At 38.7% G+C, this 24541-nt stretch overlaps 1 protein-coding gene across 5 annotated transcripts in view; it reads right to left on the bottom strand.

The window, feature by feature from the left end:
* SLC24A2 (solute carrier family 24 member 2) overlaps positions 1-24541 on the bottom strand; it is an 800438-nt gene that overhangs the window by 111448 nt on the left and 664449 nt on the right. For all 5 annotated transcript variants that reach the window (XM_017014592.2, NM_001193288.3, NM_020344.4 and 2 more), the window contains 2 exons: positions 3359-3397; positions 682-790 (listed from right to left, as the gene is read on the bottom strand). In XM_017014592.2, the coding sequence (XP_016870081.1) occupies positions 682-790; positions 3359-3397 (148 nt within the window). The remainder of the gene's footprint in view (positions 1-681; positions 791-3358; positions 3398-24541) is intronic.

Below are 24541 nucleotides of genomic sequence, written 5' to 3' on the forward strand. Positions count from 1 at the left end.
GCAGCTGAAGAAACACAATGTATTTGGCCTCATTGTGACTGAGTAACACTGGAAGTACACAATAATGGGTTGTTTGTGATGGTTCATGTGATTACACTGGGAAGTGAGCCAGGCTTTTTGGGTCTCCAATGACAGCTCCTAAGCAGTTCTCAAAGACAGGGCTTTTTAGATGCATAGATGCTCACCTCCCACCCTCCAATTGCCAAAGGATCAGTACACTCTCAACGTTCTGCCATGAACATCACTCCCCAAACCACTCATGGACCTCCTAAATCATAGAGTTCTTTTTCTCTCTTTTTTAAGGTGCACAATTTATCTTCACACACAATTTTGTTTTGAAACTTAGAAATGATGACAAAAGAGAACTGTTACTTCAGCTGGAAGGGAGGGAAACCTTTTTGTCCTCTCTGCTTCATAACAAACTATATTTATGCTGGAGGCATCAAAAGATAGAATCAGCACACGGACCTCACATCCTACTCCTGGTACAAAAAACACTGATGGTGAACTGAGCTGTTGCAGATAAAGCACGTCAAAGGGCCAGGGCTGCTTCTGGCAGAAGCTAAACAAGAGGAGGCTGGCAGGCGTGCATGACGACAGCACAAACACGTTTTATGCAGAGAAGCCTTTTGGCATCCTTTTCCCCCCAAACAAGTTCCCAAACCAAAGCTTGATGTTTACCTTCGGCGAGTGGGTCAAGGGTGTGTATCATGAGTTGGAAGATGCTATTCCTCATGAGACTGTTGTGGAGGGAGGCAGAGCTTCCACCTCGCTGGAGACGCGGCTTAGCCTGAGCAGAGAAACCAAAGAGATGGTTAGTCTCAGGAATGAAAGACAAGTGCATTATAGACAAGATCCTCACCTAGTCTGGTGGCCACTCATTTCTGTCGCATGATCACACAGTATTGAGCCAAAGATTTTCAAAGCACATTTCAAAGCCCCTGAGGGAATGGCTCTCTCACATTCTTTCCTACTAAATGAATGCATTGCTTCCCTTTTTAAAAAGAGCTTTGTAAATGCCAGACAATGTGTTATATGCTTCACATCCCTTCATTTATCTTATTTGCAAAATGAACCCTATGAACTAGATGCTATTATTTATTCTTGTTAGATAGATGAGGACATTTCATCTCAGACAAGTGAAATGAGGTGCCCAAGTCACACTGACAAGAAGTGGAGGATGGAGGAATGGATCCCAGGTCTGCTTTTCTCAATGACTATTCTCTAAACCAGTGGGTGGTCTCTAACATTTTTGAAGTATGCATCCTATCAGTAAAATGTTTAAATGTATATAAATAGGCATCTATGCCCATATCTGCATAGATACACATACTAAAATATGAACATATAAAAACACTTTCAAAAATACAAGTTAAGAAGAATAACACAGTAAATGACGAAGTGCTAATATTTTCTCCTTGCTTCCCAGAGTCTTGCACATCTCCTGGGCTACCTCATCTCTACCCTGGGACTACAGCTCTAATCCAGAAAGCAGCATAGCTTGTGTTAAGTGAGATTCAAGGAGCAGAAGCTCTTATCATGAAACCATGAGAACTCTCCCGACTTTGAGGGGGGCTCCTTTTGCACAAACTACTAGTTGTGATCCGTTGGCCAAATAAAAGGAACTGGTACGTGACAAGGAAGAATGAGTATCTAGAGATAAGGTTACTGACAAACTCTTTTTCTTCTATCTTCAAAAGCAAACAACCTAAAAACTCCCAAACCCTCTGTATTTTGATGGGTTTTTATCCTGAATAGGAACTGCTGTCTCCCCGTGGTTGATTTTGTGTTGATCATCACAAGAGAAGACTCTCTGAGGCAGCCAAGCTTTATAGACAGACAGATTTAAGGAGTTGAAAGGTATCGTAATGTAAGGGAATTAATTTCTTATTGAACTTTCAGCGTAAAAGTTTGACAGGTAAATTTTCTGGGGCAGGTAAAAATAAAATACTATTCTCCACTATGTCTTTCAAACTTCTGCATAACAGGGTTTTCCAAAATATTCCATCATACTCCAGACCCACAAGGGGGCTTCCCCAAAAATGTCCCATAAGAGACCCCATGATCAAATACATATTGGATATATATTGGAAAGTGCTATATCCTAGACCAACTCACCTCAGGGTTTCAAACTACATCATTAGACCACTAAGTCTAACACTAAAGAAATCTGTTTAACTTGATTAACTTGGGCAGTGTTTCCAAACTATTATCCATAGGATCTTATTTTGTAAAACACTTGTTAACAATCATGGTCCACACATTTGGAGACAAACATGAAACCCGTAGAAAGTATGAGTAAAATATCACTATGAGATACCAGAAGAAATCACATTGCCAATTCAATAGGGATGGAAAAGAATCAGTGGGGATTACTGGTGCCTCAATGGTGAACCAGATTATGGCTCCTTAATAGAAGAGATTGAGTCTGTATCCGTGTTCTGGTACTGGATCAGGTGTATTCTATGGGCTCTCAATGAATGTTATGTCTTTGCCCTGAGCATTACAGGAGGAAGGACAGGGTCATATGTATCTTTATTACTAACTCTTTTGGCCTTGAAAGTCTTAAACATTTTTTAATGCATTGTATTATTAGTTATAGAGGATTCAGATGATTACGGTTCAAAACATTTTAGGAGCAAACTTAGGAGACCTGAATAAAATGGAAATGTAATCACTGTTTGATGGCTGAACACAATAATTCTGAAGGTTGTTTCTTTACGATGGTGCAAAATCTGAAATGTGATGTGTTAATTAAATAGGAACTCGAAAATGTGTTTATCAATAATAACTCGTCATAACTATTATGGTCCTTATTCTGCGAAACTGGAAGAACTCTGGTGTGGAGATCTTCATTTGAAAAAGATTACATCTAGAGAAGTACTGAAAGCATTCTTTTGTGTATTATATATACATTAAGTATATAGGTCTCATGCAGCATTTCTTTCTTTTGATGAGACCAAAAGAAATTTCCAATCAAAGTATGTGCATGCAGATACACAAAGAAAACAAATATTGAGCATTAGATCCCACACTACCCCCAAATATTAGTTCAACATCCCTTGGAATGCAATTTGGAAATATCTCACTCTTCCAACTTCTACAAAAGTTCATACCAAATGGAAGAGAAAATTCAAACTTTTGAAACCTAGTCCCAGAAGGCATGTGTCCATGAATGCCAGAATTCAGTCATCACTAATTGTAGCACGGAGTAGAAGTACACATCAGGGGTTAGATTATTTAAGTATTCCAAGGGAGAGAGTAATGTGTTGAGCACACAAACCCGTCTCACTCCCACCCCTGCCCCACGCTCTCCACAGGCACACAAACAGGTACAGACAAAGCCACTGCTTCCTACCGGTAGAGTTGGTTCATCCTTGTCCCTGGCTGCAGATGGCTGCATAAGAGAAAAAGGCAAAGACAAAAGACAAAGAAATAAATAAATGAAGAATCACATATGGCATTTACATTTAATAACAAGCATCAGTATAGGGGAAGATTTCATTCTTTCTGCTCCTGGGATGAGTTAAGCCAAAACAGGGGACTAAGGATGTATATTTTTAGCCAAAATATAATGGTTTATTTAGGTACATGGTTCATTCTCCTGAAAGGTCAAAGTTGAATGGCCAACCCGAATGTCCAGCAATACAGAGCAGTTAAGTCAACTGTGGCCCAGCCATGCAGTGGAATACTATGTGATCATTAAAATGAATGAGGTAATTCACATGTTCTGACATGGAAAATATCTATTGATAACTGAAAAAATTAAACATTTATAAATATTTATTGTTTCATTTCATAAAGGAAAATAATTAATATTTTAGTGCATATAAAGAAAAAAATTCTGAAAGAATGATACCAAACTGTTATTAGTGGTTGTTACTGGGGGATGGGATTGCAAAGAAATGTCATTTTCTATATGTTTTGGGGGGAGTCAGCATTCATTGCTCCATGTATTATGAATAAAATAAAGCTCACAGAAGTTAGGCCACTGCATTAAAGACTAGGATCATCCCATATGGAAATCAGATAACCCATCTTTCCTTCTGTTCCCATCACCTCAAGTTTTCTATTCTAAAAAGAGAAGTCTCTGTCCAGTTGAGAAATGTGGATTAGAACACAAGGGCACATAAAGGCCTGGTAATCTGCTGGAAGCGAACGCAACTCAGACAAGGGGGCAGTGGAATTCTACCGACATGACCCACCTGGACAGCTTTTACTTCCTTAACTCAATGGCAACTCTCCTTCTTCGCCAGAACCGGGGACCACCCTGGGATCTTTCCAACGAGATACAGGTGCCTGGTGAATAGTTCCTCATACTTAGACAGCACCTTCGTCACTTCACCTCAACTACAGGTGCAGACAGCAAGAACAAACTGGAACCCTTCCCCTGTCTGGCCTTCTGGTCCTCCCCATTAGGGTCTAAACAGACGTCTGTCTTCAGGAATAATCACATACTTGGAGGAGAGTAGCCAGATGCAGAACAGTTTTAAAACCTTCATGTGCTCTAGGCTTTCTGTTTTAGGGTCTACCACACCTACCATGTAAAGATATTAAGATGTCCCCACATCTCATCTAAAATATTCAATTACCTAAAATATACACTTTTGTGTAAAAAAAATAGAAGGGATTCTTATAATTTTGAATTTCAAATTATTTGCTATGTGCCAATCATTTAAGTTAGGATTAGCATGCTCAAAATCTTGCAAAGTGAAAAAATCAAATCTACAATTTGTTTTCACATGTAATGGATTTTTAAGAAGGTGAAATTCAACACTTAATGAGGTTGATGTTAAATATTTTGTGGACATTCAATTAGACATTTAATAATTTTGATTTTTGTAGACACCTTTTTGGATTCTGGAGTCAATACCAATGTGTTTTTTTCCCCCTTCTGGTTCCAAGCATTTTTATAGGCTCTTGAAGAACTTGCAAGTCTCAGACATAGACAGAAGGGTTCTGCGTTGGTGGTAATTTCTGAGCACAGCCTGTGGGCATCACTAAATTCGCCTTAACCCTTGGGTTGGGGGCTCTCTCTCAATGACTTCTCTAAAAACGCTAATAGGGAAATATCCTGATGCCCTAGTTCCCAAGAGCCTGCTTGCAGAACTGGAGTGGACAGGAAACTGTCCTTTGATTTCCCACTTTCCTCTGAACGGCACTGTATGATCCTGCTTCTCTCTGGCAGGTCCTCTCCTTTTCTTTCCTTCCACATCAGACAGCTCAACAAATGGCCTCACAGTCTACAGGGCAATCCCCTAGGGAAATTTTCCAGGGCAGCAAGCTCAGCCTTTAGACATACATTGAGATTAACCGTCAGAGCACGCCTGGTCAGTTAACAAATTTACACCTTGTGGCTAAATGGGAGACCAATAATTATGAGCTGGAATTGATACCACAGTGTTGACACAGAACATGAAGGAACAGGATGAAAGCAGGGAGAGAAAAAGGTGGGCTTTATAAGGGCAGAAACGTCACCAGCTGAGAGTTTGAATTTTAAAAAATATATCTAAATACATGATTAAGGAAGGAAAAAAAAATCCAAACCTGTCTTTTGGTCTGAAAAGAAGAAAAAAATATCTACTCTATCGACTTCCTTTTTCTCTCACAGCAAGGAGGATCATAAAACATAAAAAGTGGAAGGAAAATGCCTGTACATAGATTCTTCAGAGAAAAAACTGAGTGCAGAGACAGGCCTGAAATTCTCTATAAAATATCCCACTGTTTAATGTCTGCAGTTGACATCATTCGTTTTCTTTCAAGTGTAATCTGCAGACATGAATATACATCAGGGTATAATATGTAAATTTAGGTATACACACAAATGGCAGCGGAGGCCATTAAAACACCCCTCTACTTTCCTTTTATGTAGCCCTGTTGCAAAAGAGATAAGAAGTGTGACATATGATGGTAATTGCCCATTTCCAGGGGCTCACCCACATCTACTGATAATTCGAAGTTCACCTGACTTAGCCTTGCTCTAATTGCATCCTGAAGCAGCCTCACAGTCCTGACAATATACAGCTGATTACGTTACAAATTCAATTTTAAAGGGGTTTAATTACACGGGAAGTAACTAGTGAAGGTGACAAAGAAATGATTTTAATGTGTATAGCCAGTGGGTTTTGGGTTGGCCTAGTGTTGTGAATTTATTTTCAAGGCCATTAAATACATGGCAAGTTTATTCTAACCCATGGGATATTACAGAAGACAACTTCTTCAAAAGAAGACTAACATGACTCTAAGGATTAATCTTGGCATTCTTATGATGCATTTTGCTTTTTAACCCCCTTAATTTTAAACACACAAAAATACCACTCATTTGGGCTGTATTAATATGAAAGCCCAATTCCTGGTAGTCAGCATGCTATGGATTGGCTTAACAAATTCCTATAAATAAATAAATAAATAAATTTAATGAATACATTTATAAATAAATTTCCTATAGCTGTAGAAAAAGTCTGTTAAGCCAATCTATAGTACACACACAACTATTCTTTGAGGATTGTTTAAAAGAATTCATAAACTACATCCTGAAGGTCTCAGATCAGGGCTTTGGTGTGCCAACGCAGACTCCCCTCACCATTTATAACAGCAAGACTTTGGCAGGCCATCATCTACTTATGAGAAAATATTCTGTAATTCAAACCTTTATTCAATTAAACTGGCCCCCTTCTCAATGACTCAAATTAGTCATATGGTGACTGCACTTAAATTGAGCAACTGGAAGATGACTTTAATCTCTATTGTCCTTCCTGGTGGAAATCCCATTTCCTTTTTTTTCTTTTCTTTTTTTTTTTTGAGATGGGGTTTCACTCTTGTCACCCAGGTTGGAGTGCAATGGCATGATCTCAGCTCACTGCAACCTCTGCCTCTCAGGTTCAAGCAATTCTCCTGCCTCAGCCTCCTGAGTAGCTGGGATTACAGGTGCCCGCCACCACGCCCAGCTAATTTTTGTATTCTTAGTAGAGACAGGGTTTTGCTATGTTGGCCAGGCTGGTCTCAGACTCCTGACCTCAGGTTATCCACCCACCTCAGCCTCCCAAAGTGCTGGGATTACAAGTGTGAGCCACCGCGCCCTGCTGGAAATCCCATTTCTTTATAGGAATTTTGCTACTTATTTGATAGGTGTTTTGAAATTGTCCATTTATGCTTGCATCCCAGATAATAAAATGCATAGCCCATTTGGATAGCATTTTGATGCTATAAATCAGTCCCAAGTCCTTAAATCTTCTTTCTTCCTTTGATCCTTGAAAGCGAGAAATGATTTTGCTGACTATAAAGTGTAGTTTTGATGGATCTTTGTACATAGCCTTTCACCACATACAGGCCCCTAGTCCCACCTCACACACATAAAAATTAGGCCAATACTGCAGTCCAGCTGCCTCAGGGCCACTCAGTAAGAGGATACTAACATGTCCATGGTTCACTCTGGTAATTATCTACTTACAAATCACATATCAAATGGGTCACCATGAAGACTTCATAGGACAAAAGACAAGTGTGTAACTAAGGGATTTTTTTTTGGTCAATGACGTGGCATCAGATATAGAAGAACAATAAACAGTTCGTTGCTAAAGCTAAGTAACAGCTATAAACTTCCACCACTTTAACATTCCACCAAGTCCTGCAAAATGGGCCTAAAATGCATTATGCCAAGGACCTGGAAGCATTATAAAGTCTATAGAAATAAACTTAAACATATTATTTTGTGAAAAATATAATCTGAAACAAATATGCCCATGATTAGAATATTAATCCAATATTCCAATGGACATGAATTTTAATGTCTTAGAATTCAGGAAGATCTGGTGAGGAATGATTTGAATGACTGATTTTCATTTAAAAAATTAACATGAAAGTGTAAAATGATGTTTCCTTTTTCTTTCAATACACTACTGTAATAAATAAAAACATTCAAAATGTCTCTCCTTGTTAAAGATGAATAAACCTCAAAGCCTATTGGGAAGACTAGATACAAGGTGCAAAGTCCTCAAATCTGAAATATAAAAGGAAAAACACCCTACTACCTCTTAGTCAGATGGAAACTCATCTCTTTCTCCCTCCTTTTACTTTGTCTTAACATAGTCCCTAAAACATTAAGGGAGGGGAGATTAAATAAATTCCTAGACAAAGAAAGAAAAATTTAAATTCAAATTACTTTGACTGGTTGCTGGTAATTATCTGACAATCATGGCCCTTCTGCAAAGAAGGAATCTCAGAGAACAATGAAGTGCTGAAGATGACAGCCCAGGGTGCAGGAGTACCCACTTTACAATCCGGTTTAAAGAAATACACTGGGATGGACAGAAGGGGTAGAAATGATCTAAGTAAGAAGTGCGGTAATGAAAGCTCACATTTTGGAAGCAAAGCCTTTTGATGATTTGTTTGGATAATCTTCATGGTCATGAAATATTTGAGATAGTAGAAAAATTTTTTGAGAAGAATAGATATCTTCGCCAATATGGAAGGAGTAGAAGAGAAATTGTTTAGAGACAGTTAAAGAACAATTTGGAATATGGAATACTCAGTAAGGCAAGGGGGCCAGGGTGACTTCATTAAGCAGAATCTAACTGACAAGTTAAATCTACACAATTGTAATCAGAGTCTCCAAAATTTCTTGATCATATACCATTATCAGATAGAGGCTTGCTCTGTTGTTGCCCAGGCTGGAGTGCAGTGGTGCGACCATAGCTCCCTGCAACCTCAAACTCCTGGGCTCAAGCAATCCTCTTGCTTCAGCCTCCCAAGTAGTTGGGTCTGTAGGAAAGCACTATGATGCCCAGATAATTACGAAAAAAAAATTCTTTTATAGAGGCCAGGGTCTTGCTATATTGCCCAGACTGGTCTCGAACTCCTAGTCTGAAGTGATCCTCCCACCTGAGCCTCCCAAAGTGCTGAGATTTTAGGTGTGAGCCACTGTTCCCAGCCTATCTACTTATGTATCTATGTGCTACTGGCAACCATTGTAAAAACATGGACTAATTTATTCCCTCTTTTAAAAAAGATAACAAATAGTAGTCTTAATATTTTTTTCTTGCATTCCAAATAATTATCTTGTGCACTCCACTGGAACATTAGCACAAACTTTTAGAAATGAATTCTTTCAATGCCTCTCACAGAATTGACAAGCTATATGGAATGTATTAATATCTTTTACCCAACTCCTTCAGTTAGCCTCCCTAATACTGGAAGCTGTAAGATCCTTGAGGACAGGATTCACCTCTTTGCCTTCCATGGTCCTTAACTGTGGCTACTTAAAATGCAATTAAGAGGCCTGGGTGAGTGAGAGCACCCTGGCAGAACAGAACTGTGTGCTTCTGGGTCAGTTACCAGAGCTCCTCAGCTGCTTGTGTCACTGGCTAAATTAACAGTAATGGTGATTATTTAAGTCTACCTATTAATGTCTACCTATTAAATCAATTAAAGGTTAATCTTTCTTATTAAGTATGTACATAGAAGACAGTAATCCTCATCTTACAAATGGAGAAAGAGAGGCAAGAAGGGCCTCAGGCTATTTCTGTACTTAGGATACTAAGCACCAGTGTTAATTCACTTAATTTAGGAATTAACAACCCGACTACCCCTGCTATCTCTTGCCTTCCCCTGAAAAATCCAGATGTTCCTAATTTACTTTGTTGTACCATTTCAGCAATTCTCACAATTGCTAATGAATAATTTTGATATGCCAATCAAACACAATCTGCTAGTGGTGTTCTGGTATTAGTCACACGAATTTCCTTTGACTAGTAAAGAATGCAATATGCAATCATCTATTAAGTCCTGGTTGCCTTACTTCCTTTAAGGAACGGGTCTAAGACAGGAGGTGTCCAACCTTTTGGCTTCCCTGAGCCACACTGGAAGAAGAACTATCTTAGGCCACACATAAAATACGCTAACACTAATGACAGCTGATGAACTAAAACAAACAAACAACTCATAATGTTTTAAGAAAGTTTAAGAATTTGTGTTGGGCTACATTCAAAGCTGTCCTGGGCTGCTTGTGCCCTGCGAGGTGCGGGTTGGGCAAGCTTGGAGGATGTGATTTTTTAAAAAGGTCTAACAAATGCTGGTGTGCAACAAACTACAGAATACTTTGTAGCAAATGAGGCAGATTTCAGTAATAATGTGTGCCAAGTGTTATATATATAATATCTCATCGAATCCTCACAATAATAGGTATTATAAACATATACTCCCCCTTTCAACACATGAGGACCCTGAAGCTGATGGAGTTGGACAATTTTTCCAAGGCCACATAGCCAGCAAGTGGCAGAGCTCAGATACGAACTCAGACAGTTGGGCTCCAGAGCCTTCCTAAGTGCTGGGGAAATGAGAAAGTGGCATTTTCCTTGCAGTGACCTGTGAGGAGGCTGCAGACAATACAACTTCAAATATAGTAAAAAATAGTTCACATATATTAAGAACTGTTATGAGCTCTGACTTCCAATGGAGGTGAGAAAATAGTGGCAAGTGATTGTTGTGAATTTAGAATGAAAGCTTTGATTTGTGTTTATTTTGTACAAAAAGCTAGTATCTGGGAGTAGAGAAAGTTACAGAGGCTATTTTGTCTCTTCCAGCATCATTACTTAGAATCACTTACTATTGTCATGATTTACTATTATTATTTCTGTCTCTTGAAGGTCATAGGGGCACTTTTTATGCCTTCAGAACGGCATAGATTTAAGTAAAACTGCAAATGAGTTGCTCCATATATCAAGTTGACTTGTATTAAGGAGTTGATAGCTCAGCAGTAGGTGGGAAAAAAGGGCCCCCCTGGTGGTCCCAGTTATCACTGCGGTCATGAGACATTCTATATTTAGTTTATTTGGAAGTTCGGGTGGGCTCAGTCTTTGATTTATTTCTGACACTTCAAGGACTAGTGCTATTTCATTGTTTCAGGGAAAGAACAAGCTCAAAAAATGAAAATAGTCACTCTTGGTGTTTAAAGCTTCAGTGGGAGAGTGTGAATGGCAAGTTTTGAATAAAGAAAATTCATTCATTTAACAGTAATTATTTGATAATATTTATCACACACTTATATATGGCCAAGGATTCTTCTAGGTTCCTGGGATTTAGGTGTGGCCCAAACTGGCAAAAATGTCTGTCCTTATGGAACCTGCATTTCAGAATAAATATGTTATATCATTAAATTAACTAGATAGAAAGGGTAGGTAGTCATTATTAGATCACTTAAAATTAAGTGTTACATTTAAGAATATACTTAAGAGGATTACCTGTGGCCTAATCATTACTTTTGTAGTCACATTTTATCACACATTTATTAATTCTAGATTTAGCATCTATTCTTGTTTAGAGAGAAGCTGGCAAAGACTATAAAAGTGTAAAGAACAAGCTTGTGTCTATAAAATTATAAACAACACATATATTAATAGTAGAATTCACTGAGCAAAGGGCATTAGATATTTAAAATGCATTTTAAAACTGATATAATTGAAGACATAATTTAATTTTTGATAATATTAACAGTAACAAAATTTTTTTGCCAATCTTTTATTTTAAAAAAGATTAGATTTTTTAAAAATAAGAAACTTTGAACCTCAAAGAGAACAAAACCCCACAATTTGAATGTAATATAGTGATTTTTATACGTATAACTTTTCATATTTATAGTCTTCTAGCTACAAACAATGCAGCCTCATTAATATAGCAGATTAATTCTTCACCACGTTTTAACTTCCGATCTCAGAAATATCAACGGTACCATATCAGTACCTGATTCCAAAAGGACCCTGGCACAATTTCCATATAGGCAAAAAAATAGAGATGCCAGATTTGCTGAATTTAGTTTTGGAATTTCCAGGAAGCAAAAACATCATATAAACCCAATTTAAATATTTAATAATATAAATGCAAATCTAAGTAAACTTGGGGAAAAATAAAGGGCACAAATATCAAGCATACAACACTTTCCGTTGAAAATGCACTGATAATGAGAACCAGTCTCACTCCTTGATCTGCTCTTCTTTCCCAAGAGAGGCCAAGAGGAAGCTAAACTCATTCATGTCACGAAGATGAGTTATAAAAGTGGGACGCAGCAAGTTCGTTTCAAGCACTGCCTGGCTACTTCCACATTCCATTTCCACTGTGTGTCCCCTCCTCCCCACTTCCTCCCTAGTTCATTCTTTTGTATTATTTGTCTCATCTCTCTCTTTTTCACTATTGAGCACCCTTCTGAGGGCAGAGACCATGTCTATTTCATTTGATATTATTCCACAGTACCTAGCATAGTGGTGCTCAATGCTCAGTAAATGCATGTTTAATAATAAATAAGTTAAATCAGATCTTATATATTTTTAATGAGCCCATATGCTCATCCATAATGAGGCTGAAGGTAAATAGCTTCGTCTTGGTCCAACACTGAATTGTGTCACTTTCCTCCTGGCATTTGATACTGCGAGTGACCCACTGCTTCTTGAATCAGTCTCCTCCCAGGTATCTGGCATGTGTGCTCTGACTAGGTCACTACTTCCTCATTCCTGTGGAAATGCAACAATATCAAACCTCCCTTCTTTGAACTCCTGTGTTAAAGACATCATTTCACAACGCTCCCAACTGCTTGTGTTTGCCATTTTGCCTGCTTTGTTGGACTTGTAAGCTTCTTGAGTGAGGGGGTCTTACATATTACACATCTTTATACTTCCAATTTTGCCCACCAGTGTGCTGCCACCCCACGGATGCTCTGCAAACATAGAAGTTTTGACTGCTGGCCATAAGCGGTGAGACTAGAGCTTTGAAAGGAAGGAGGATTCTCAAACATGCAGGAAACTCACCATGAGGCACAAAAGAATTGAGGTGACTGGGTCCAGTGTTGGGGCCTACAGTATGGTCAGCGGAAACCATTTGACTAATACAGAGTGGCATCATTAAAAAATTCTCTGGCTTCATCCCTGGGACCCTGTGCCCAGACACTGCTGTACGGGTCCTTTAACCTGAGAGAGCCAGTCTTTCTTTTGGTGGTCCAATTGGACCTGTACTACTAATGGCTGAGGTGAGTGCAGTAGGGGTCCTCTGTTTTGGCTGGTGAAAGGGTTGAATGGAATAGGCCCACCATGCAGTGAAGTGGAGAACATGGCAGTAAGAAACCGTTCCACTGGGTGTTGACCATGATACACCTGGCCATCCTGGAAAACAGAGTAGATGGTAAGGACTAGGAGTCCCATTAGTGGGGCTTGACATGAGGACAGTTACCTTCTCAATTGTCCCTGGGGCTGATGCAGTTTAGGGTAGAGTGAGTCAAATTAAGATTCAAACTTATCCTCAACATCTCAGCTCACTCCCTGCACCCCATCTGCCATCCTTTGCTGTCATAGGGAGTCCAGGCAAATTGTCATTTTATCTATGCCTACCTGGGATGTTACCATGTTATTCCCTCTTGCTCCATTTGCCAAATATCCTCCTTCACGGCATTTAAAAAATCACCCATTCATTCTTCATCACATGTTTAATGAGCATCTTATATGTGCTACATTTTTCTAGGTGCAGGGATAAAACAGTGACCAAAATAGCCCAAATCCTTGCTTTCACGGAGTGTATATTCTAGCCTAGATCTCACTTCCAAGACACATTCTTCCAATTAAGTAGCAACAGCAGCAGTTAATATATGAAATCCTTGCTGACCTTTATCGAGCACTAACTACAGTTGAAATACTGGGCTAAATGCTCATTCATAATCTTAGGTGGCAGGTATTATTAGGAAACATTTTTAATAACTTCTTATTTGGAAATAATTATAGATTCACAAATAGTTGCAAAAATATGTATAGGGTGGTCCCATGCGCCCTTTACCCAACCTCCTCCAATGATAACATCTTGCACAACTATAGTACATCATTAAAACTAGGAAGTTGGCATTGGTACAATCTATGGAACTCATTCAGATTTCACCAGTTATATGTGCACCTATTTGTGTTTGTGCATAGTGTGTATGTAGTTCTATGCAGTTTAATTATATGTGTAGCTTCATGTAACCACCACTGCAATCAAGATAATTAACTATAACATCATCACAAGACTCCCTTGTGCTATCCCTTTAGGTCTACACCCATTCCCACACCTGCCTGCTAATCCCTGGCAACCACTATTCTGTTATCAATTTCTACAATTTCATAAATGTTATATAAATGGAATAATGTCATATGTATACTTTTCAGGTTTGCTTTTTCCATTTGGGATAATTTCCTTAGGGTCTAAGTTATTGTATGTATCAACAATTTGTTCCTTTTTATTTAGTAATATTTCATGGTATGGATATACCACAGTTTAATGATCTGCATGTTGAAAGGCATTTTGGATAGTTTACCATTTTGGGCTATTGTCACGAAAGCTGCTATGAACATTCATGTATGAGTTTCTGTGTAACTATGTTTCATTTATCTGGGATATATGCCCAAGAGTACAATTGCTGGATCATACAATAAGACCATGCTTTTGTTTTAAAAAACTGCCAAACTATTTTCCAGAGTGCTGTACCATTTTACATTCTTACCAGCAATGTGTGAGTGATGAAGTGTTTCTGCTTTCTAGTAGCAATTGATATGATCACTATTTTGAAATTTTATTCTTTCTAAAGGTGCCGTGATATCTCATTGTGGTATCATAGTTGTTTATTTTCATTTTTATTTTTGTAAAGACAGTGTCTCACTATGTTGCCCAGGCTGGTCTTGTACTCCTGGGCTCAAGTAATGCTCCCACCTGGGCCTCCCAAATCGCTGGGGTTACAGGCGATCAACTTTATTGCAGTATTAGCATGAGTTTCTGTAATGGCTTATGATGTTGAACATCTTTTCGTGTGCTTATTTGCCATTTGTGTATCTCTTCAGTGAAATGTTTGTGCATATATTTTGCCATTTTCTAATTGGATTGTTTGTTTCCTTAATGTTATGTTTTATGGGTTCCTTGTATATTCTAGATACAAGTCCTTTGTTAGACACGTGGTCTGCAAATATTTTCCCCCTGTCTTTAATGTGTACTTTCATTCTCTAAAAAATGGTTTCTGACAGAGTAAAAGTTTTTAATTTTGATGAGGTTGAATTTTATCAAATTTTCCTTTTATGGATCAGTTTTAGGTAGCAAGTCTAAGAATTCCTTGCCTGGTGTTGGGAGCTGAATATTTTCTATTTTTTTCCTAGATGTTTTATAATTTTATGTCATGGTCTATTTTTTGCCTATGGCTTTTCCATTGCTATTATGCCCTATATTTATTTATTTATCTGTACCTCAATGGATGCAAATATACCCATTTTAAAGATTGGGGTAAAAGGCTGAGTGAGGTTAACTAACTTGCCCACAGCAATACAGGTAGTATGGAAGGTACTGGGATTGAAATGCAGGCAATCTAACTTGAAACTGCAGCCTCTTTTTTTTTTTTTTTTTTTTTTTTGAGACAGAGTTTTGCTCTTGTTGCCCAGGCTGGAGTGCAATGGTGCGATTTCAGCTCAATGCAAACTCCACCTCCCGGTTTCAAGCAATTCTCCTGCCTCAGCCTCCTGAGTAGCTGGGAATACAGGCATGCGCCACCATGCCCAGCTAATTTTGTATTTTTAGTAGAGATGGGGTTTCTCCATGTTGGTCAGGCTGGTCTCAAACTCCCAACCTCAGGTGATCCGCCCACCTCGGCCTCCCAAAGTGCCGGGATTATAGGCCTGAACCACTGCGCCCGGCCAAAACCACAGCCTCTTAATGACTTTACTTGCCTGCTCTAAGGCATATCTCTTTGCATTCCCCAAGTAAACATAAAACACACTGATTTCACCCTCTATGTGGGACAGAACAAAATGTATTCAGAAAATAGAAGTCATCTAATCTTTATAGAACTTTTTAGGGAAACCTGGAGCTTTAATCATTATCATTGCTTTGAACAAAAAGTACATAATTTAAAAAATAAGTGATTATTTTCAATGTCATGCATCCCTCTAATCTTATTAAGACAAGAGTTATCTAATCTTATAAAGCATAAAATAAAAAAATAGAGATGAAATTGAGATCTACCATTAAGTAAGGTTACCACTCAATTTTTGCTGATGAAGTAGTAATGGATTGATGATGCTGGAGATTCACCCTTAAAATAAAAATTCTGGTTCCAGACAGTAGCTGTGGTTTCCTAGGACATATCTTATCTGTTATCTGTCAATAGAACAACGGAAATTGTGCACTACTGAAAACAGATGTAGCCTCACATTCACAGAGATGGAAAAGATGTGCTCTGGAAGTCCTCACTGCGTTACTGTCAAATGAAGCCAGGAGGTACTGATATTATATATTACAGTCAGCACCAACTTCTTGGCCTAATGTTCAGCACTATTTTCATTGTTGGAATTAAAAATCTGTTCTAGAATTGGGGGAAAAATGACATGAGAAATATCCCATCAAAAAGCTTTTTTTCCTAATTACTATTGGCTCTGAAATTTTGGCTTTAGCCATTAGAAACTTCTCAAGATGGTTCTGGTGGGCATTTTGTTTTGTAGCAGGTCCCATAGTACAAGCTTATTGCCCAGAGAGGATCTTAAATGCTGTTAATAATCATACAATATTGTATAATATTATCACCAGAAGTTTACTACTTACTAAATTATAGGAGCATTGGATATCTTTGGAAAGGATTTAATTAAATTACAACAAAAAATATCCTGGACCTATGGGAAAATGACACTTGCCAATGAAAGAAAACCCAGTCCCAAAGTGAAAGACCGTGCTTATATTGACATTTCTCTCAAAATAATGAGATTTCATTCTCCAAGTTCTTACAATAAAAAATTTCAAACATAGGAAAAGCTCAGAATAGCCAGAGTTCCACCATTAGATTCATTTTTAACATTTTCTATGTTGGCTTTATCAATATGTCTATATTAATAATTCTTTATGAGTAATTTTAAAGTAAACTGCAGATGCCACGACATCTTTGCCTTTAAACGTTTCATATGTTTATCTTCTCAGGATATGGACAGTCTTCTATATAGTCATAACAACCATGTGTGTACATTTTGTATGTATGCAGTAGGTGACTTGTTGCCTTAGCAGGTTAACGTCTGCTACTGGTGTGTATTTTTTGACATGGTTAATTTTCTTGGTGTTTACACTTTCGTCCCCATGGTTAGTTATTAAATATATGTAATACAAAGTATCTGTTTTATTTGTTAAGATCTCCTTCCTTCCCTACTTTGCAACCAACCCCTGAGGGCAAATCAACAAAAATCATTTAGTTCATTAAAAACAAAGTTGCTCTAGACAAAAGTACCCATTTGCTGACTGCTGTTTGGTATTGGCTTATTGGTAGACAATACTAACCACACAGACATTTATAAATACAAATACTATTTAGTGCTAGGTGTCCTTTTCTTTTCTTCTCTTCTTCTCTTCTTCTCTTCTTTTCTTTTCTTTTCTTTTCTTTTCTTTTCTTTCTTTCTTTCTTTCTTTCTTTCTTTCTTTCTTTCTTTCTTTCTTTCTTTCTTTCTTTCTTTCTTTCTCCCTCTCTCTCTCTCTCTCTTTCTTTCTTTCCTCTTCTCTTCTCTTCTCTTTTCTTTTTTGGAGAGGGCATCTCACTCTGTTACCCAGGCTGCAGTGCAGTGGTGTGATCTCGGCTCACTACAACCTCTGCCTCCTGAGTTCAAGCGATTATTCTCCTACCTCAGCCTCCTGAGTAGCTGGGATTACAGGCAGCCATCAACTTGCCCAGCTAATTTTCGTATTTTTAGTAAAGACAAGGTTTCACCATGTTGGCCAGGCTGGTCTCGAACTCCTGACTTCAAGTGATCCACCTGCCTCACCTCCCAAAATGCTGAGATTACAGGTGTGAGCCACCACGCCTGGCCAGTACTAGGGTTTTTAATTTGGAAACTATAGTCTGAATTTAGGTGGGGGGACAGTTTGTGAAATTTCTGACACCGTCTAGTTTTGTGTGTATACAAACTTTTAGGAGGCAGCGGGAAGAGTGTCCATAACTTCCATCGGAGTCTTAAAAGTGTCCATGACCCTAAAAAGGTTAAGAATAATTGATTTAAGTCTTTCAAAATACCCTTTGGAAGCTGGAAAATACTAATTGGAATAATTATTTGGAATGTTATTTGGAAAAACTATTTGGAATATCTTCCAGCATCCAAAGGGTATGTATCTTGAAAGCCTAAATAATATCCAAATAATACTAATAGCATTAGTATCAAATGCTAACTGACGGAAAGGAGGAATTCCAAAAGGACCCGTCTAGCCCATCCAGTTGACAGCCTGGTGCCACTGAAATGGGTTCTGGCACAGGCAAAGAACAGAGTAGAAGGCAGCACAGAGCATTTTACTCACACTGACAAGTTCTCAATTAGTTCAAGCTCTTCAGGAAAAAGATCTGAATGTCACTGCAGATGGTCCAACTCTATTCAGTGGGCAGAGACTGGGCAGGGTGCCGGAGGTCTGCCCTGGGCATCAGGCACCAATGGTGCCCAACTGTGTTTGTTCTAACTGTTGCCCGACTGTGTTTTTTCTAACTGTTGCCCGACTGTGTTTGTTCTAACTATTGCCCCTCTGTAGGCTTTGGTAGTCTTGAGGGTGGTTTACATCTGTGATTGCATTCACCTTGAAAAAACACACAAGGGGGAAGCAGAAGAACCCAAAACAAATAAGAAAAAGTCTCCTTTTTACCTGACTGGTCATTTTGGAAATGGGTGCACTTCCTTGTAAGTACCAAAGGAAATAAAGGCATGGAGAAGTAGTACCAGGCACAGTGCGTGGTGTTTTTAAGTAGTTGTTCCCTAGTTTTAGAATGATCAGTATCTCCTTAGCTTCTTTGTTTCACAGCTGGAAGGAAGTGAAGCTCAAAGTGATGGAGCAACCGGATGGTGTAAAGACAGCGTTTACTCAGTGAGCAGGGCTGAGATTAGAACCTGTGTTGGTAAAATGCCATTTCCCATCACACTTTGTTGTTTTATAAATATGCGGTGGGAGAGGACAGGTGTGGAATACACAAATGCAAAAGAACAATCAACCAGTGAAGTCCACCTGTATTGGGGGGTAGTTTGCTTGCTGTGCTTTATTTTGTGCTAGCTTCTGTTGAAAAATGTACAGTGAGAGAGAAATCAATAGCACTTAGCATTCAAATTACTTGACTTACATGCATTATTCATTTAATATTTATAGCTCCATAAGCATTCTCAATCCATTTTACTGCTGGAGAAAGAGAGGCTCAGTAAGAAGAGTAAATAGCCCAAGGCCTCAGATGCAATACCTTGTAAAGTTGGGGGCCATACCCAGGGCTGTCTGGCTCTCATCCCTGCAGGCTTGAGGTTATAGGTCAGGTGAGATTGGAGAATTGTTAGCCTCTGGGTGGACACAGACTTTCAGACCATTGGAGAGCACTGAGTTGGAGAAAAAGGTTATTTTCCTCCATTTGAGCCCTATTATAGTCAATGCACACATTCTTGACTAGTTTTACAGGAAATCAAATTTTAGTAAGTTGAATTTACCTTTATTGCCAACGGATATTCATTTGGCAGATGATTATAACACTTTCTTTTTACCTGCTCTCTCTATTGAATACAAAATCCACAACTAAGCATTTAAACAACCTGGGGGAGCTAAGGGAATTTCTATTTTGTTTGTTTTCTTGGTAATGGAACAGTTATTTCCCAATGAGTTAGACTGTGACATTTTTATTTCTAATATTAAATATTAAAAATAGAGTATAATTCAAAAGGGTAAAGCTATGGGATGACACTCAGAATAAGGGGAAATATTTTAAAGAGTCCTGACTCTACCAATGACTAGTTCTGTGGCCCTCACTAGTTACTGGAGGACTCTAAGCCTCAGTACCTACACATATTAAAATGTGGATGACAGCTATCTCAGAGGGTTGTTTAATCATCAGATTAAATAAGATGACATTAAATAAGATGACATACGTAAAATTCCTGGATCCCTACAGGCACTCAATAAACAGATATAAGAAAATAAAATAAGAATCTCCAACTGGAGCAATTAGCTATCTAAACTTGGAGATGGCAGGTAGCCAGGTCAGAATTTCTACCTTTGAACAAATCCTGAATTGCTCTGAAGCTTAAGGCCAAGAATTTCAGTTTATTTCAGTTTCACATAAATATGAAGAACAGAGCAAGTCAATCATTATCATCCCAGATGGGAACATAATCTGCTTCAATTTCTCCATGGTCTTATCAAATGATCGCTATTCTGCATTTGCAAGTGGTTTTTTCCCCCAACAACAACAAAAATTCTCTCCCACAGATCTTCATTCCCTCTCCTCCTCCATAATAACCTTGTTAAAAAGCACCACTTTATTATAGGTAATTGAGTGGATTTTCTAACTTTATTAGCTAATTGTGGTAGTTTGCAAAATGGCTGCAATTCTTCTCTTCCCTATAATGAAGTCCTTTTGCAATGGTGACTTTTCAGGTCCCTCTATCAGTAGGTAAAGTTTGTTTTCCTTCCCCTTGTTTTGGATTAATCTTGTGACGCTTTGGGCAACAGAATATGGTGGAAGTTCTCAGCTTAGTCCTCAAGAAGCCTTGCATGCCCGCAGATGGTCCTTATACCTCTGCCCAGCTGCCATTTGAACAAGCCTGGGGTGCCCGGCCAGCTGCCCCCCACCATGCCAGCCATCATCTGGTCAGAGGACAGAACTTACAACTAAACAGGGAGGCAGATATTTTGGGGCTGTGTATGTGCATGGGACACGCCCAGGTGTTTTTCTCACCGATAATCTTGTATGGACATATGGGTCACTTTAGTAATATCTGGATAACCTATTTCCATCTGTAATGATGACAGCATTTTGCCTTAGCAATTCTCAAGTTTCACATAGGGAAACTGAGACAGACACATCTCCTCTAGTATAAAAGCTTGGCTAAGATGAGAGCCAATAGTTTATAAGCTCTGCTGAATTCATTTATTCACAATGTTATAGTCACAGAGGAAGCAAACCAACCTTTGAAACATAAGGCATAGTAGAGGGAGGAAAGACTAAGAGAAAGAAAACAGTTTTTTGTTAACTTGGAAAACCTACAAATATTTATTCTGTTAATCAAGCCCCAAACCATATGCCCTCTTAAAAATATGTTTGTGAATGGATTTCTAAGATCCTTCATGCTTCAGCATAGTAACTTGAGTTTATTAGATGAATGAAGAAATTAAAACTGCCTGGTTCTTTCAGTTGATAACCTAATAAATAAGGAAAATCTTTTTTCTCTGTTGAAATCACAAAATAAAATTATGATCATAACATATTTAAGCAGTCAAAAAGCATGATGTCTTATACAATTTTAATCTGCCTGGAACCTTTCCATGAAAGCATCATCAGTTTTATCTAAAAATGGCTCTCCTGCTGTTATTAAACCATGTGCCTTGCTGAGTACTCACTGCATAAAGAAGAGCAGATTCATTTGGAAAATAAGTTGAATCTTTATCTTTTCAGATATTAAAGTTGGATGCCTTTCTCTCTGTACTGCTATAAAAAACACCTTCATATTACTTGGGTTTATTTTAAGTTGTTTAAAAAATTTTGAAAGCATAAACTAATATTTATGTTTTCTGACCACAAAAGCTACACAAGTTGACTGGAAAGTATAGGCGTTGATACGGGGTTGGCAGAGCCAGGACAAGGATGAGATGAATGTCTCACTTTGTCTCCTGGACAAAATTTAAGGCAGTACCAAAAAACTCAGTATTATAGATAAATAACATAATGCAATATTTCAAAAAATAAATATTAGTGCAAAATAAAATCTACAATGAACAAAATGTCAAGATTTTAAGTAAAGACAGCTCTTACCTTGCACTTGAATCTTCCCTACTCATCTTACCCTAATCCTGGCCCTGGTTTCAATAAAACTTTATTTACAAGAATAAGCAGCTGGTTCATGAGCTGTAGTTTGCTAATTTGTTTCTTTAAATATTGCATTAAAATATTTATTTTGATGACCAAGATTTTGGGTACCCCCTTAAATTTTGTGCCTGAGTGCCATCCTCACCTTACCCTAATTCCAGCCCTGGGTGTTATCTTCTATTCTAAGTTCAAATGGTAAGCTAATGAAAGTTTTAAAGCAAATGACTGATAGGATTTGATTTAAGTTATACAAGTGGGCTTTGGTTGCTGTGTAGTTTGGCGGGAGATCTAAAGTGGGGACTGGGAGAATAGTTAGGAGGCTGATGCGTCAGTCTAGTGATTTTGCTCTGGTCCAGACCAAGTCACCAAAGACCATTCAGATGTAAAGATGGTGGCCACTTCCCTGTCTGCATATCTACGTGACATCTCAGCATTTGTCTTACTCCTGTTGATTCTCTCATGGTTGTCCCTCTGCTTTACTGACTTCTCAGTCTTGGGAACTCTGCCCTCTTGTGTTCTCACACAATCCCTTGGCCTTAAATTCCATCAACAGAATCTCTAGTTCTGAATTTGTCTCCTCCAAACATGCATATCCAATTCCAATTGCCAACTCACCATTTCTATTGAATGTCTAGTGGGCATAATAAACTTAACAAAACCAAAGTTCACTTTCAAAGATGTCTTTCTCTCTGTGCTGTTTGGATTAGTTCAATCACAAATTTAGATATTACAAAACATCTTCACATTTCTTGTTTATTTTAGGTTACTTAAACATTTTTTTTTTTTTTTGAGATGGAGTCTCACTCGGTCGCCCAGGCTGGAGTGCAGTGGTGTGATCTTGGCTCACTGCAACCTCCGCCTCCTGGGTTCAAGCGATTCTCCTGCCTCAGTCTCCCAAGTAGCTGGGACCACAGGTGCGTGCCACCGTGCCCGGCTAATTTTTGTAGTTTTAGCAAAGACAGGGTTAAACATTTTTGAATACTTAACATATATGTGTTTAGGCTATAAAAGCAACACATTTACTGGAAATTATGTCTATTCCCAAACCTGTTACTCTTCCAGCTATCTTCCAGTAGAGAATGGCACTACCATTCTACTCAGCTGTTCAAGCCAAAAAATTACTGCTTATTTCTTTTCTTCTCCTTTTCTCCCACATCCAATCCACCAGCAAATCCTGTCAATTTTGCCAAAATGTGCCTTCATTTTTTTAAATAAAATCAGCATCAGCCTCAGTAGGCCTACTAAGGGTATAGCTTCCACACATTAGGGTAGAGTCTGACTCGGTGGAAGGAGCAGTCGTTGGGAGGGAGGGGAAGTGTGTGTGAGTAGGAGTGTTAAATTCCCAGGTCAGGGTATAGGGAGAGACTGGCTTGGCTTTGGGGAGGTGAAAGCTGCAGGGTGGAGAGAGCTGGAATATGCCTGGGCCTCTCCAGGTGGGACAGAGACTAGGAGATGTCCCAGCTTTTACGCTTACACACACATTCTCTCTCATCCTACCAGCTGGGTCTGCACAGCTGGACCTGGGACCAGAGGAGGAAATACGCCAGCAGATCTTAGTAGGTACAGCTAGTTGGTATTAGAGGGAGCAGAGTGATCTCAGTGAAGATGTGCCCAGTCATCAGTCTGGCAGGGGCCAGAGCAGACAGGGTTGGTGACAAAGCTCAGCTGGAGCTCAGCATGTATGAATTTAGCATCCATGGCCTACACAGGGCTGACACCAGCTGGCAGTGTACAAAAATCACAGGGTCAATTTTCCAAGCTAAGCGTATACTGTACACTCCTCTGAGAACCAAGTTCACTAATGCAGAGGCCACTTAAAGAGTAGTTATGCCTACAGGTCCTGCTTACATTGACCAAATAGAGTTTGTTTCATTGTTTGCTTTGTTGTTTAATTTGGCTTTGAGAATGGTTTATATGAGAGCGTATTCTTTTTTTTTTTTTTTTTTTTTTTTTTTGAGACGGAGCCTCGCTCTTTCGCCCAGTCTGGACTGCAGTGGCACTATCTCGGCTCACTGCAAGCTCCGCCTCCCGGGTTCAAGCCATTCTTCTGCCTCAGCCTCCCGAGTAGCTGGGACTACAGGCGCCCGCCACTGTGCCCAGCTAATTTTTTGTATTTTTAGTAGAGACGGGGTTTCACCGTGTTAGCCAAGATGGTCTCGATCTCCTGACCTCGTGATCTGCCCGCCTTGGCTTCCCAAAGTGCTGGGATTACAGGCGTGAGCCACCGTGCCTGGCCAGTATTCTTTTTTTTTTTTTTTTTTTTTTAACATATCTGAATGAATTCATCAATCGTCTGCCTTATAAAAAATCAGTGGATTTATTCAGTGATAAAAACCAGTAAATTTTAATTTAGTAACTACTGATTTTGCATGCTTTTTGCATATCAAATGTAAGTTGTCAGGACCCTATTAATATGAATATTTTATCTAAATGTTACCCATTTAAAAATTATAAATATTTGTCTTACTCATACCTGCATTTTACTAAACTCATTATCTATAGTATAAAACTATTACGTATAATCTCTCTTTCCCACTGAACTATCTGCAGAGATCAAAGGACCCATTATTCAGGCCAGATGTTTTCATGTTTTTTAAAATTAATCTTGTTTGTATAAAGTATATTTAGCTTATTTTTTGACAAGTCCCTGATATTCCAGACTTAATGGGTACCACCACTAAATCTGAATAATTGATGGAA

Source organism: Homo sapiens, chromosome 9 (assembly GCF_000001405.40).
Source record: "Homo sapiens chromosome 9, GRCh38.p14 Primary Assembly".
NCBI lineage: Eukaryota > Metazoa > Chordata > Mammalia > Primates > Hominidae > Homo > Homo sapiens.